General features: G+C 47.1%; 1 protein-coding gene and 1 pseudogene across 5 annotated transcripts in view, besides 3 other annotated features; one reads left to right on the top strand and one right to left on the bottom strand.

The window, feature by feature from the left end:
- EARS2 (glutamyl-tRNA synthetase 2, mitochondrial) overlaps positions 1-15,363 on the top strand; it is a 36,622-nt gene that overhangs the window by 7,977 nt on the left and 13,282 nt on the right. For all 5 annotated transcript variants that reach the window (NR_003501.2, XR_001751841.1, NM_001083614.2 and 2 more), the window contains exons 3-4: positions 4,696-4,885; positions 14,039-14,511. Coding sequence is in view for 3 of the 5 variants with exons in the window: in NM_001083614.2 (NP_001077083.1) it covers positions 4,696-4,885; positions 14,039-14,511 (663 nt within the window). In the remaining 2 variants the exon portion in view is untranslated. The remainder of the gene's footprint in view (positions 1-4,695; positions 4,886-14,038; positions 14,512-15,363) is intronic.
- Positions 10,392-10,891: an enhancer, noted in NCBI's record as "H3K27ac hESC enhancer chr16:23549829-23550328 (GRCh37/hg19 assembly coordinates)". NCBI's record gives its function as "activates a minimal SCP1, AML or CMV promoter by ChIP-STARR-seq in primed H9 embryonic stem cells {active_cell/tissue: H9 hESC(primed)}" and the evidence as "EXISTENCE:reporter gene assay evidence [ECO:0000049][PMID:30033119]".
- Positions 10,497-10,791: an enhancer, noted in NCBI's record as "tiled region #1793; K562 Activating non-DNase unmatched - State 14:Gen5', and HepG2 Activating non-DNase unmatched - State 5:Enh". NCBI's record gives its function as "activates a minimal TATA promoter and a strong SV40 promoter by Sharpr-MPRA in K562 cells, with weaker activity in HepG2 cells {active_cell/tissue: K562 | HepG2}" and the evidence as "EXISTENCE:reporter gene assay evidence [ECO:0000049][PMID:27701403]".
- Positions 10,892-11,393: an enhancer, noted in NCBI's record as "H3K27ac hESC enhancer chr16:23549327-23549828 (GRCh37/hg19 assembly coordinates)". NCBI's record gives its function as "activates a minimal SCP1, AML or CMV promoter by ChIP-STARR-seq in primed H9 embryonic stem cells {active_cell/tissue: H9 hESC(primed)}" and the evidence as "EXISTENCE:reporter gene assay evidence [ECO:0000049][PMID:30033119]".
- SUB1P4 (SUB1 pseudogene 4) lies at positions 11,224-12,395 on the bottom strand (annotated as a pseudogene).

Genomic DNA, 15,363 nt, shown 5'->3' with positions numbered 1-15,363 from the left:
CATGCCCACTTGGATCCCACACCTGCCATGGCTCCACACTCAGCCCATGGCTGGACTGGGTGTGCCACGAGTGGCTTCTGTGTTGGGTGCTGGCATCTAGATGAGGGGAACATGGTGGCACCCAAAAACTTGGGAAATACCATCAGTTGTGGAGCTCCAAGGGGTGTTATAGCTCTTGTTTGGGGAGTCCTGAGATCTGAGTCCCCAGCACTGTCTCAGCTCTTCACTCCTGTAGCTTGGTGAGTGGGAGCGTGTTACAGCTCTCTTTCTCCTGTAGTCTGGTGAGCGGGAGCGTGTTACAGCTCTTTTATTCCCGTCACCCGCAGCTTGGCGAGTTTTGGGTTCTTGTCCTGCAACCAAGAGGAATGAGGTGTGCAGGTACCATAGAGTGAGTAAGGCAGAGAAGAATTTTATTGAATGACAGAAGGGAAACTCTCCACTGCGAGAGGGGACCCTGAAAGTGGTAGCCATCTGTGAGGCTGAGTCTATCATTTTTATGGGCTTAGAATGGGGGCATGCCTGCCGATTGGTCCATGAGTGGTCTTGGAAAAAGGACCATTCAGTTGGTTAAAACATCATCCGGAAGGAACCAATCGAGAGAGTGGGTGAGACAGGGAAACAAGTTCTCACTCCAGTCATGGACTCTATCCTGACTTGACAGTTTGGTTTTCAGGCTGTCTTTGGCTTAGAAGTCAGATTTCACCAGGGACCTGTCCCTGACTGCCTAGGAATTTGTCTGTCTCCTGTCAGTCATGCCATTACACTCCAGCCTGGAGCGACAGTGTGAGACCCTGTCTCAAAAAAAAAAGGCTTTCCAGGAGCCAGATTACATGGTGCCTCACAGACCAAGATGAAGGCTTCAGTTTCACAGAGGATCTGCTACTTATCAGGTACCACGCCAGGCATGAGGGATACAGTGATGAACAACGGTGATGGTGGCGGGTCCCACCCTCGTGGAATTCCTGGGGCAGCATCATTGTGAGAATGAGGCTTGCAGCCCAGAGCTTGTCCCCCACCCTGGTGTTTTGGCGAGGCAGAGGGCAGGTATTCAGGCACCTCATGGTGGCTGACTTCTGGAGCACCTTACTTTGGGAGTCATTCTTTCTTTTTTAATTTTTTTCATTTTATTTATTTATTTATTTATTTATTTATTTATTTATTTATTGAGATGGAGTCTCGCTCTGTCGCCCAGGCTGGAGTGCAGTGGTGCGATCTCGGCTCACTGCAAGCTCCACCTCCCGGGTTCATGCCATTCTCCCGCCTCAGCCTCCCGAGTAGCTGGAACTACAAGTGTCTGCCACCAAGCCCAGCTAATTTTGTTTTTGTATTTTTAGTAGAGACGGGGTTTCACTGTGTTAGCCAGGATGGTCTTGATCTCCTGACCTCGTGATCTGCCCGCCTCAGCCTCCCAAAGTGCTGGGATTACAGACGTGAGCCACCGCGCCTGGCTATTATTATTATTTTTTTAGAGGCGGTGTTTCACCATGTTGCCCAGGCTGGTTTCGAACTCCTGAGCTCAAATGATCCACCTACCTCGGCCTCCCAAAGTGCTGGGATTACAGGCATGACCCAGCATGCCCAGCCTTTTAAAAATAATGACATATAAGCAAGGCGTGGTGGCTCTCACATGGGGTGGCTCTTGTCTGGGCAGGCGGATCACAAAGTCAGGAGTTCCAGACCAGCCTGGCCAACATGTTGAAACCCTGTCTCTAATAAAAATACAAAAATTAGTTGGGCGTGGTGGCACATGCTTGTAATCCCAGCTACTCAGGAGGCTGAGGCAGGAGAATTGCTTGAACCGGGAGGTGGAGGTTGCAGTGAGCCGAGATCGTGCCACTGCACTCCAGCCTGGGTGACAGAGCTAGACTCTGTCTTCGGGGAAAAAAAAATGACATATAATTCACATGATATGAAATTTACCATATCAAAGTGTACAATTCAGTGGTTTTCAATATATTTACTGTGTTGCGCAACCGTCACCACTAATTCCAGAACATTTCCATCACCCCTAAAAGAAACTCTTCCTTATTAGCAGTTGTTTTCCATTCTACCCTCTCCTACCACCTGGCAACTACTGATCTCTTTCTGCCTCCATGGATTTGCCTCTTCTGGACGTTTCATATGAATGAGATCATATAATATATGGCCTTCTGTGACTGGCTTCCTTCACTTACCATAAGCGCATCTGTGGGCTATCATGCTTCATTCCTTTTTATAGCCAAATAATATTCATCATATGGTTATACCACATTTTGTTTATTCATCACTAGTGAATGAGCATTTTAGTTACTCTGGTTTTTGGCTGTCCAATAAAACTCTATGAACATTTACATGCCAGAGTTTAAGTTAACATGTTTTCAGTTCTCCTAGGGGAGTCCCTCTTAAACCCTGGGGCATTCCAAGATACCACATTAAAGAGACTTGTTTAGCATTAGATCAGGAAGGGATCCCCCCAAATTTACCCGATTTAGCCCTCCTTTCTGACAAATGAAGAAATGGAGGTCCCATGAGAGGGAGCCAAGTAACACTGATAATCACAGATGGCTGGGTGCCATGGCTCACGCCTATAATCCCAACACTGGGAAGCCGAGGCAAGAGGATCACTTGAGCCCAGGAGTTTGAGACCAGCCTGGGCAACATAGGCAGACCTTGTCTCTATAGAAAACTTAAAAAAAGTTAGCCAGGCCTGGTGGCATGTACCTGTAGTCTCAGCTACTTGGGAGGCTGAGGTGGGAGGATCACTTGAGCCTGAGAGGTTGAGGCTTCAATTAGCCGAGAACGTGCCACTGCACTCCAACCTGGGCAACAGAGTGAGACCCTGTCTCAAATAAATAAATACATAAATACCAAAGCATAGAGAGCACCGGTCACAGGCCACTTGATGAGTACTTTACTTAGATCATCTTACTCTAGTCTCATGATGATCCTCATGAGAAAGTTACTACTTGTTTCCTTCTTTGACAGATGAGAACCCAGAGCCCAGAAAGATGACTTGCCCAAGATCTCTGAGCTGGCTGGTACGTTTGAACCCAGGCCCACTCAGCTCAGTTTGTGTTAGCATTGAGGGTAGCAAGGTGAACAATGTCCTTATCTTCCCAATTCCTTTGAAAGCTCTTTGAGGGCAGAAACACCATCTTCCAGTTCTTGTGTCCCTGTGCCCTCTCCTGAAAGCATTCATAATGAAATTTATCCTATGTAATCGGAGGGAATTGGACTTTGGGTTTGGGGTTTGGCTTACAGTAGATCATATTTAATCTATTCTATAGCATATATTGAAACTGTCCTAAATATACACCACTGGGCTAAGTGCTTATAAGCACTGACACATTTGTTCTCACAATTCCCTCTGCACAGGAGGCTGCTAGCTCCACTTTTCAAAAGAGGAAACTGAGGCTTAGAAAGATTAAGTCTAGCTGGGCATGGTGGCACATTCCTATAATCCCAGCTACTCGAGAGGCTGAGGTGGGAGGATCACTTGAGCCTAGAAATTGGAGACTGTAGTGAGCTATGATTGCACTACTGCACCCTAGCCTGAGTGACACAGCAAGACTCGCTCTCTACTAAAAAAATAGCCAGATGTGGTGATGTGCACCTGTAGTTCTAGCTACTCGGGAGGTTGAGGCAGGAGGGTGGCTTGAGCCCGGAAGTTCGAGGCTGCAGTGTGCTATGATCACACCACTGCACTCCAGCTGGGTGATAGAGTGAGACCCCATCTCTTAGAAAAAGAAAGGCTAAGTAACACAAACAGCAGTGTAATGAGTGGTTAAGAATATCGGCTCCGGTGCCCATTAGTCTGGGTTTGAAGCTGATCGTGCCCCTTCTACTCGGCCAGGTGACAAAGCATCTCTGTGCCTCAGTGTCCTCACAGAGTGGGGGAATAACCGCACCTACCTGGTAGGGTGGGTTTGAGGCTTCAGGGAAAAGTGTCTTTTATGGCACTCAGCACCCTGGTGCTCACACGTTGGTAGCACCTCAGGATCCCTTGTCACAGCTACTAAGTGGCAGAGCCATGAGTCCCACCAGGGCCTGATGGGCTGTTCTCTGAACCATGCTTTTTTCTCCTAAGTCAGCTGTTCCCAGGCCTGGGCTTGTTTCTCCCTCTCCAGGGAATCCCATCAGGGATTGAGAGGACATACAATTAGGGATGTGGACTTTGGAGCCCGTACACCTCCGTTTGCTCCTTAGTCCATGAGCCCATGCGACTTTGAGTGCTTCACCTCTCTGTGTTTTAACTTTTCATCTCTAAAAGGGACATTGGGCCGGGTGCAGTGGCTCACGCCTGTAATCCCAGCACTTTGAGAGGCCGAGGCAGGTGGATCACCTGAGGTCGGGAGTTCAAGACCAGCCTGGCCAACATGGTGAAACGCTGTCTCTACTAAAAATACAAAAATTAGCTGGGTGAGGTGGCACATGCTTGTAATCCCAGCTATTCGGGAGGCTGAGGCAGGAGAACCGCTTGAACTTGGGAGGTGGAGGTTGCAGTGAGCTAAGATTGCACCACTGCACTCCAGCCTTGGCGACATCAGAGCAAGACTCTGCCTCAAAAAAAAAGGCGGCGGGGAGGACATTGTACTAATGCCAACCTCATGGATTGTTATGAGGATTAAAGCTTTAATATGTGCATAAAGTGCTTAGAGCAATGCCTGAGAACGAGCGCTGTGTGCACCTTAGCTGTCATTATTCCCTGTGTTCCAGGCATCCCGCCTGATGAGAGCCCCCGCCGGGGCGGTCCTGCTGGGCCCTACCAGCAATCTCAGCGGTTGGAGCTGTATGCCCAGGCCACAGAAGCGCTGCTGAAGACCGGAGCTGCTTACCCCTGTTTCTGCTCACCCCAGCGGCTGGAGCTCCTGAAGAAGGAGGCCTTGCGGAACCACCAGACGCCCCGGTAAGAACCTCAGCTTGTTGCAGATGCCTCATCAACATTGGGTGTGTTTGTTACCTTGTGCTGCGTAAGAAATTCCCCTAAACATGTATTACCTCTCAGTTTCTGTGGGTCAGGCATCTGAGCGTGGCCTCACCTGTTTCTTTGGCTCAGGGATTCTCTCAAAGCCACAAGCAACTACAGGTCCTAGCCAGTCCTGGAGTTCTCTTAAAGCTTAGCTTGGGGAAGATCTACTTCCATCTCCTCTCAGAAGGCTATTGGCCAACCTCAGGTCCTTGCTAGCTGTTGCCTGGAGACATCAGTTCTTTGCCATGCGAGCCTCTCCATAGAGCAGCTTACAGCGTGGCAGCCAGCATTTCTCAAAGCCAGCCAAGGAGAGAGTGAGCACGTACGAGCTGGAGTCTACCTAGTTGTGGAAGCAACTTCTCACCACTTTTGTTTTATAGGCTATGTATTCCTTCTCTGGAACGCTTGGGACCAGAAGTGTTTTGGATTTCAGATTTTTTGCATATTGAAATATCTGCATATATATAATGAGATATCTTGGGGGTGGGACCCAAGTCTAAACATGAGATTCATTTATGTTTCATGTACGCCTTATACACATAGGCTGGAGGTGATTTTATGCAATATTTTAAATAATTTTGTGCACGAAACAAAGTTTTGACTATTTTGACTGTAGCCTGTCACATGTGTTTGGGTGTTGTATTTTCCACTTATGGCATCATGTCAGCACTCAAAAGGTTTCAAATGTCAGATCAGTTGTGGCTTTTTTTTTTTTTTTTTGAGACAGTCTCACTCTGTCGCCCAGGCTGGAGCGCAGTGGTGCAATCTTGGCTCACTGCAACCTCTGCCTCCTGGGTTCAAGCAGTTATCCTGCCTCAGCCTCCTGGGTAGCTGGGACTACAGGTGCCCGCCACCACACCCATTTAATTTTTGTATTTTTAGTAGAGACGGGTGTCACTGTGTTGGCCAGGCCAACCTCAGGTGATCCACCTTTCTCAGATTCCCAAAGTGTTAGGATTATAGGCGTAAACCACCGTGCCCAGCCAGATCAGGTTTTTTGGTTTTTTTTTTGTTGTTGTTGTTGTTGTTTTTTTTCATAGAGTCAGGGTCTTACTTTGTCACCCAGGCTGGAGTGCAATGGTGTGATGTTGGCTCACTGCAGCCTCCAACTCCTGGACTCACGCAGTGCCCCCATCTCAGCCTCCCAAGTAACTAGGACTGTACTCCTGGCTAATTTTTTTTTTTAAACTTTTCATAAAGATGGGGATCTCACTATGTTGCCCAGGCTGGTCTTGAACTCCTGGCCTCAAGCAATCCTCCCACCTTGGCCTCCTAAAGTGCTGGGATTATAGATGTGAGCCACTGCACCTGACTTTTTTTTTTTTTTTTTTTTGGTGAGACAGAGTCTTGCTCTGCTACCCAGGCTAGAGTGCAGTGGTGCAATCTCAGCTTACTGCAGTCTCCACCTCCCGGGTTCAAGGGATTCTCGTGCCTCAGCCTCCTGTGTAGCTGGGACTACAGGCACATGCCACCACACCTGGCTAATTTTTGTGTTTTTAATAGAGAGAGGGTTTCGCCATGTTGCCCAGGCTGTTCTCAAACTCCTGAACTCGAACAATCTTCCCACCTCAGCCTCCCAAAGTGCTGGGATTACAGGCGTGAACCACTGCACCTGGACCATTGGAGCATTTCAGATTAGGCATATTTGGCATTATTTTTGTTCATTAGACAAAAGTCACTAGGCCCAGCCCACACTCAAGGGGAGGGGACTACACAAGGACAGAAACACCAGAAGGCGAGAATGACTGGGGCTATGTTAGAAGCCAAGATTTGGTCTCAGAAAGTAATGTGTAAAGTAATTTTAATTATTTGTTATTTTTAATGAGCAAGGTCCACAGGCCGGACGTGGTGGCTCACGCCTGTAATCCCAGCACTTTGGGAGGCTGAGGTGGGTGGATCACGAGGTCAAGAGTTCAGGACCAGCCTGGCCAATGTGGTGAAACCCCGTCTCTGCTAAAAATACAAAAATTAGCTGGGCGTGGTGGTGCGCATGTAGTCCCAGCTGCTCGGGAGGCTGAGGCAGGAGAATCATTTGAACCCAGGAAGTGGAGGTTGCAGTGAGCCAAGACTGCACCACTGCACTCCAGCCTGGGCGATAGAGCGACACTGTCTCAAAAAAAAAAAAAAAAAAAAAGAAAAATGAAAGGTCCACAAAGGGCCAAGTATGGTGGCTCACGTCTGTAATTCCAGCACTTTGGGAGGGCGGAGGTGGGCAGATCACTTGAGGTCAGAAGTTCGAGACCAGCCTGGCCAACATGGTGAAACCCCATCTTTACTAAAAATACAAAAATTAGGCCTGGAGTGGTGGCTCATGCCTGTAATCCCCGTACGTTGGGAAGCCGAGGTGGGCAGATCACCTGAGGTCAGGAGTTCAAGACCAGCCTGGCCAATATGGTGAAACCCCATCTCTACAAAAATACAAAAATTAGCTGGGCATGATGGCGGGTGCCTATAATCCCAGCTACTTGGGAGGCTGAGGCGGGAGAATAATTTGAACCTGGGAGGCGAAGGTTGCAGTGAGCTGAGATCATGCCATTGTACTCCAGCCTGGGCAACAGAGCAAGACTCCATCTCCAAAAAAAAAAAAAAATTAGCTGAGCTTGGTGGTGCACGCCTGTAATCCTAGCTACCTGGGAGGTTGAGGCACTAGAATCGCATGAACCCAGAAGGTGGAGGTTGCAGTGAGCTGAGATTGTGCCATTGTACTCCAGCCTGGGTGACAGAGGGAGACTGTCTCAAAAAAAAAAAAAAGAAGATCCACAAAGATATATATTGAAAGAACTCTCTTCCAATCTTGACTCTGGCCACTCAATTCTGCTCTCCAGAGATAACCAGTGTTAAAATTTTCTTATGTCTCCTCCAGAGACATTCAGTACATATACCTATAAGTACATATTATTTTCTCTTTTTCCTTATTCACATGGTAGCATGCAATGTACTATGTACATGCTATGTGGTGCAATTTACCATGTCCGCTTACCATCTTGAGGATCAGATATCAGTCCATAATAATGCATAATATTCCATTTGTGGATATAACTTCATTTACTTAATCAGTTTCGTCTTAACAAACATTTATTTTTGTTTTGTTTTGTTTTGTTTTATGTTATGTTGTGTTATTTTAGAAATGGAGTCTTGCTCTATTCCCCAGGCTGGAGTGCAGTGGCAAGATCTTGGCTCACTGCAATCTCCATCTCCCAGGTTCAAGTGATTCTCTGGCCTCAGCCTCCCGAGTAGCTGGGATTACAGGTGCCCGCCACCACACCCTGCTAATTTTTGTATTTTTTTGGTAGAGATGGGGTTTCACCATGTTGGTCAGGCTGGTCTCAAACTCCTGACCTCAAGTGATCTGCCCAAGTGATCCTCAAGTGGCCTCCCAAAGTGCTGGGATTACAGGCATGAGCTACGACACTCGGCCTTAATAAACCTTTATGTTATTTATTTATTTATTTATTTTTTGGAGACGGAGTCTTGCTCTGTTGCCCAGGCTGGTGTGCAGTGGTGTGATCTTGGCTCACTGCAACCTCCACTTCCTGGATACAAGCAATTCTCCTGTCTCAGCCTCCTGAGGAGCTGGGACTAGAGGTGCATGCCACCACACTTGGCTAATTTAATTTTCTTTTATATTTTAGTAGAGACGGGGTTTCACCGTGTTACCCAGGCTGGTCTTGAACTCTTGAGCTCAGGCAATCCACCTGCCTCGGCCTCCCAAAGTGCTAGGACGAGCTCAGGCAATCCACCTGCCTCGGCCTCCCAAAGTGCTAGGACTACTGGCATGAGCCACTGCGCTCAGCCCAAACCTTTATGTTATTTCTAATATTTGGTTATAAAAGAAGAGAGCTGTGATGACTAATGTTGACATATGTCATTTTGCACTTGTGCAGTATGTTTGCTGAATACCTTCCTAGAGGTGGAATTGCAGAGTCGAGTTGTAGCTTTGATGGATACTGCCAAGTGGCTGGCCCTTTACTTGTTTACACTCCCATCTGCAATAGCATTGTAACATTTACATTGCAGTTCCAGTGAACTATTTGGTCAAGGGCTCAGCTGTTTGGCCAAGGTCATGACGTTTACGGTGACATTGCCTTTTTATTATAAACAATGTATTTGTCTCTTGACAGAATATTTTTTTTCTCATCTCATTCTGTGACCCAGGCTGGAGTGCAGTAGCATGATCACAGCTCATTGCAGCCTTGAATCTCCTGGGTTCAAGCAATCCTACATCCTCAGCCTCTCAAGTAGCTGTGACCACAGCCATGTACCACCACACACAGAGTGTTATGTTTTGTTTTGTTTTGAGATGGGGTCTCACTCTGTCACCCAGATTGGAGTGCAGTGGTGTGATATTGGCTCAAGGCAACTTCTGCCTCCTGGGCTCAAGCAGTCCTCTCATCTCAGCCTCCCAAACAGCTGGAACCACAGGTGTGTGCCGCCATGCCCGGCAAATTTTTTTTGTATTTTTTGGTAGAGACGGGGTTTCTCCGTGTTGCCTAGGCTGGTCTCAAACTCCTGAGCATAGGAGATCCACCCACCTCAGCCTCCCAAAGTGCTGGGATTATAGGTGTGAGCCATCATGCCCGGCTGGCACACAGCTAGTTTTTAAATTTTTGTAGAGATGGAATTCCCCTATTTTGCCCAGGCTGGTATGAAACTCAAGCGATCTTCCCACCTCAGCTTCCCAAAGTGCTGGGATTATAGGCATGAGCCACCATGCCTGGCCAACAGATTTTTTTTTTTTGTTAAATTATAGTCATGCCCTGTTGTGGAATCCTTGCAGCCATTTATTTATTTATTTATTTTAAGCTTTCAGGATTTGTATTAAATCCTAGTCTAATTTAACGGTATCTGATGTTACACACATCATCTCATGGTGAACGTGTTTAATAAGCGAAAGCAAATCAGACAGCTTATCTAAGTCGTTATTTTTTGTGGACTAAACAGTAAGGTAACAACTACCCAGAACCCTATGGGTCATGATGGACACTTGCTCAGTTTTCATACAAGCTGTGTTGGTTATCAAAGTATATCTGCTAATATTTAATAAAGTGAAATGTCATTGGGGTGGAAAAGTCAAGCCTAGACATTTGGTTGGAAAAGAACAGATCAAGTATGGATTTCACAAACCAAAAGTTTATAAACTCAATGCAATACAAGTCCTTTCTATTGTAAAAGCTTAGTTGAAACTAAAAGATCTGTAAAAACTATTACTTTGGGCCTTAAACAGTACTAGCTCTTATGAGCAAAAAAAGGACACAACTGCAGCCTGGGCAACGTGGTGAAACCCTATCTATATTAAAGTACAAAAATTAGCTGGGCTTGGTGGTGTGTGCCCATAATCTCAGCTACTTAGGAGGCTGAGGCAGGAGAATCAGCTGAACTAGGGAGATGGAGGTTGCAGTGAGCTGAGATTGTGCCACTGCACTCCAGCCTGGGAGACAGAATGAGACCCTGTCTCAAAAAAAAAAAAAAAAAAAAAAGGAGGGGGGCCATAACTGTTGAGAATGTATTACTTGGTTTTATTTTACATTAGGTGGTAGGTACAAAGCAATCCTTCTTAATAAAGCTGACAGTTAGCTTCCCTTAGGACTTTTTTTTCCAGACAGGGTCTTGCTGTGTCACCCAGGCTGGAGCGATGCAATCATGACTCACCACAGCCTTGACTTCCTGGGCTCAAGCAATCCTGCTTCAGTCTCCCAAGTGGGTGGAACTACACACATGTACCCACCATGCCCGGCTAATTCTTTTTTTTTCTTAAATTTCTAGTAGAGACAAGGTCTCGTTACCCAGGTTGGTTTTGAACTCCTGGGCTCAAGCAGTTCTCCTGCCTTGTCCTCCCGAAATGCTGGGATTACAGGAGTGAGCCACCGCACTTGGACAGAACATATTCAATAATGCACATTTAAAACAAGTATTCATCTTACAAGTTGTTCTGTAATCCAAACATATGACAGCTTGGAGAACAACATTTAGAAAACAGAAGCCAATGTAAAAAGACAGATTAATACAACTAGAAGCCAGGCACGGTGGCTCACGCCTGTAATCCCAGCACTTTGGGAGGCTGAGGTAGGCAGATCACCTGAGGTCAGGAATTCGAGACCAGCTTGGCCAACGTGGTGAAACCCCATCTCTGCTGAAATTAGCTGGGCATGGTGGCGTGCACCTGTAATCCCAGCTACTTGGGAGCCTGGGAGGCAGAGGCTACAGTGAGCCAAGATCACGCCGCTGCACTCCAGCCTGGGTGACAGAGCGAGACTCCATCTCAAAACAAAAAACAAAAAAACCCAACTAGGATAGTGTAGGTTTTGTATGGCTCAGACTTTACAGTTTTCTTACTGCATCATCAATGTATCGATTAGAATATCTGTTCCAGCTAGGTGCGGTGGCTCATGCCTGTAATCCCAGCACTTTGGGAGGCCAAGGTGGGCAGATTGCTAGAGCCCAGCCTTCGCAACATGGTGAGCCCCCATTTCTACTAAAAAAAATACAAAAATTAGCCAGGCATGGTGGTGCACGCCTGTAGTCCCAGCTACTTGGGAGGCTGAGGTGGGAGAATCACTTTACCCTTGGGAATGTCTAGGCTGCAGTGAGCTGTGATCACTCTACTGTACTCCAGCCTGGGTGACAGAGTGAGACCCTGACTCAAAAAAAAAAAAAAAGAAAGAAAAAGAAAAGAAAAGAAAGAAACCCTGTCTCTACTAAAAATACAAAAAATTAGCTGGGTATAGTCGTGCATACCTGTAGTCCTAGCTGCTCGGGAGGCTGAGATGAGAGAATCACATGAGCCCAGGAAGTCAAGACTGCAGTGAGCCATGATTGCACCACTGCATTCCAGCCTGATCAACGAGAGTGAGACCTTGTCCCCTGTCTCAGTAAATGAATGAATGAATGAATGTTTCTTCAGCTGGCCCCATTGCTGTGGATTTAAAGAAATACCTTTTCTTCCTGGTTTTATTTAACCTTTGAGATCCATCCAATAATCTCTAATACCATCAATTAGCACTTCCCCTTTAACATCCCAAACACTAAGGTACCTCATTTTCCCAATCTGAAACATGTTATCAGCTGAGTACAGTGGCCTGTAATCTAATCACAGCACTTTGGGAGGCTGAGGAGGGTGGATCACTTGAGACTAGGAGTTCGAGACCAGCCTGGGCAACATGGTGAAACCCCATCTCTATATGAAATTTAAAAAAGAAAATAAACATGTTATTATGTTTACTGCCGCTGCTCTGTTTGGAAGATGACAGAGCTCCCAAAGTTTTGCCAGTCTTTTGTTCCTTTACAAGTTTTTCTGGAGCAACTTACTTTTTCTTCTTTAACTTTTTGTCAAACTCACTGTCAGAATTCCTGCCAGAAGAGCTTGAAGAAACAAGTTCCTTTGATTCAGACATAATGCTGCCCTGCTTCTGCAGCTGAACACCCTCCTGTTCACTCATGTGCAACTGACTCATTTGTAAAAATTTCTTTTTTGGCCGGGCACGGTGGCTCACACCTGTAATCCCAGCACTATGGGAGGCCGAGGCGGGTAGATCACGAGATCAGGAGTTCGAGACCAGCCTGACCAACGTGGTGAAACCCCATTTCTACTAAAAATATAAAAATTAGCCGGTTGTGGTGGCAGGCACCTGTAATCCTAGCTACTCAGGAGGCTGAGGCAGGAGAATTGCTTGAACCCTGGAGGTGGAGGTTGCAGTGAGTCAAGGTCACGACACTGCACTCCAGCCTGGGTGACACAGCGAGACTCTATCTCAAAAAAAAAAAAAAAAAAGAAAAAAAAAGTTTTTTTTTTGAGACAGGGTCTCGCTGTGTCACCCAGGCTAGAGTGCAGTGGTGCCATCATAGTTTACTGCAGCCTCAACCTCCTGGGCTCCAGTGATTCTTCCACCTTGGCCTCCCACAGAGCTGGGACTACAGGAATGCACCACCACACCTGGCTGATTTTGTTTTGTTTTGTTTTGTAGAGACAGAGTCTCACTATGTTGCCCAGGCTGGTATTTTAAATTTTTAAATAAGAGACAGGATTTTGCTATGTTACCCACGCTGGTCTTGAACCCTTGAGGTCAGGCTGTCCTTCTACCTTGACCTCCCAAAACACTGGGATTACAGACGTGAGCAACTGTGTCCAGCCCTGTGCACCATTTATTGATTGATTGAACACTTAGCTGTGGCAAAGACTAACCTTACAAGCATTCCATCTGTGTCTCAGAACGCTTTTGGGTGCAGTTAGTGGAATACCCTGTTAGAAGGGACAAACGATACTTTAACTCACAGATGGATCACCTGGGGACCTAGTTAATGTTCAGATTCTGACTCAGTAGGTCTGGGGTGGAGCCTAAGAGTCTGCATTTCTGGCAGACTCCCAAGAGGCTGATGCTAGGGGCCCACAGACCACACTTTCAGTAGCCAGGGCATCAATCATAGACATTTGTCTTTTGATTCTGCACAAGGCTGGAGGTGGGTGACTCCAGGATGAGACTAGCAGTGTAGAGACACCAGGGCTCTATTTTGGCTTCTCTCTGACTTCATTGCCTTCCCTCCTGCAGTTGCAAGTAGCTGCCGCAGGTCCAAGCATGCTCCCCTTACAGGACAACATCCAAAGAGGACAGAAGTGGGGCAGTGGGAAATTTTAAGAAGGGATTTTCCTCCTGTGGCTTTCTCTTCTTGTCCTTTGGAGAGAAAAACCTTTCCCGGAACCTTAAACCTTTCTTACTCCCCAGGCATGCTTTTCTTTGCATCCCAGTGACTAGGATGGGGTTACATTCCTGCCTGGACTGGTCACTGGCATGGAGCAATAGGATTGCAAGATTGGCTATACCAATCAGGATTCAACCCCTCGGACTAAGCATTTTGCTATTTTCTTGTTAGCAAGGAAGAAGCGTGGAATGGCTGGTAGATAGGCAGACATTAGTGTCTGCTACACCATGTTATCTCAGTTTTCCACACAACTGTACCATCATCCCTGTTATAGACTGAGGAAGCAGCTTGCAGCAGTAACTGACTTGCTTAAGGTCACACAGCTATGACAGAGGTAGGACTCCTGTCCATCAACCTTTCCATCAACAGTACTCATGCTGCTCTGCTCCCCATCAGGTATGACAATCGGTGCAGGAACATGAGCCAGGAGCAGGTGGCCCAGAAGCTGGCCAAGGACCCCAAGCCTGCGATCCGCTTCCGCCTGGAGCAGGTGGTGCCAGCCTTCCAGGACCTGGTCTATGGCTGGAATAGGCATGAAGTGGCCAGCGTGGAGGGAGACCCAGTCATCATGAAGAGCGACGGCTTCCCCACATACCACCTGGCCTGCGTGGTGGACGACCACCACATGGGCATCAGCCACGTGCTGCGAGGCTCTGAGTGGCTCGTCTCCACTGCCAAGCACCTGCTCCTCTACCAGGCCCTGGGCTGGCAGCCACCCCACTTCGCCCACCTGCCCCTGCTCCTCAACAGGGATGGCAGCAAGCTCTCCAAGAGGCAAGGGGACGTTTTCCTGGAGCACTTTGCTGCTGATGGCTTCCTGCCCGATTCCTTGTTGGACATCATCACCAACTGTGGCTCAGGTTTTGCAGGTACGTGCCCACCTGAATAGTCCTGGCAGCAGAGAGCATGGCCAGGAGGAGCAGGGCTTTGGCTCAGACAGTCCTGCTCTTTGGTCCCAGCTTTGCCACCTACCAGCCAGGTGACCTTGGACAAGTTTATTCTTTTATTCAATAAATGTTTATTTTGCCAGACACCACATTAAGTGCTGGGGCTACAGTAGTGGGTGAGATAGACATGATCCCTGCCCTCAAGGGACTTATAGTCTCTGAGCCTCAGTTGCATATCTGGAAAATGGGGATAAGTGTCTACCTCATTGGGTTAGGATTCACTGAGCTCAGGAGTGTAAGGTACCCAGCCCAGCACCTGTCACACTGTAAGCACAAAAAATGACAGACCCTATGATTGTGACAATTATTACAAGCATGTATGCTAACAGTATGACTAGAATTAATATGGATTTAGTTTCTTTTTTTCCTTCTTCATTTTACTGCCAGATGAATCTAGTTTATTTCAAGCTGAGCACTTACCCATGGTCCAAGACTTAGACCCAAACCTTGAAGAAGCAAGCATCAAATAGGATGACCTGAAGGATTTCTGAAAATGTGTCCAGAATAGCCTGCCTGCTGGTCTCATTTCATTTAACACAACATACTATTAAGGGGTAGATACATATCTCCACTGTTTGTAAGAGGATTGTGAAGCTCAGAGAAGCTGAGTAACTTGCCAAAGTCACACACCTAGTGAGGGATATAGCGCTTTAGGCCTATGCCTGATCACGATGCCTGCTGACCGTATGGGACTGAGCTGCTGCTCACAAGAAGCAGCTCCCAGCACTACGGTTCTTAACTTTTTTTTTTTTTTTTTGAGACAGAACTTCTTGT

Source organism: Homo sapiens, chromosome 16, assembly GCF_000001405.40.
Source record: "Homo sapiens chromosome 16, GRCh38.p14 Primary Assembly".
Taxonomy (NCBI): Eukaryota; Metazoa; Chordata; class Mammalia; order Primates; family Hominidae; genus Homo; species Homo sapiens.
This window is presented reverse-complemented; position numbering and strand designations above follow the sequence as displayed.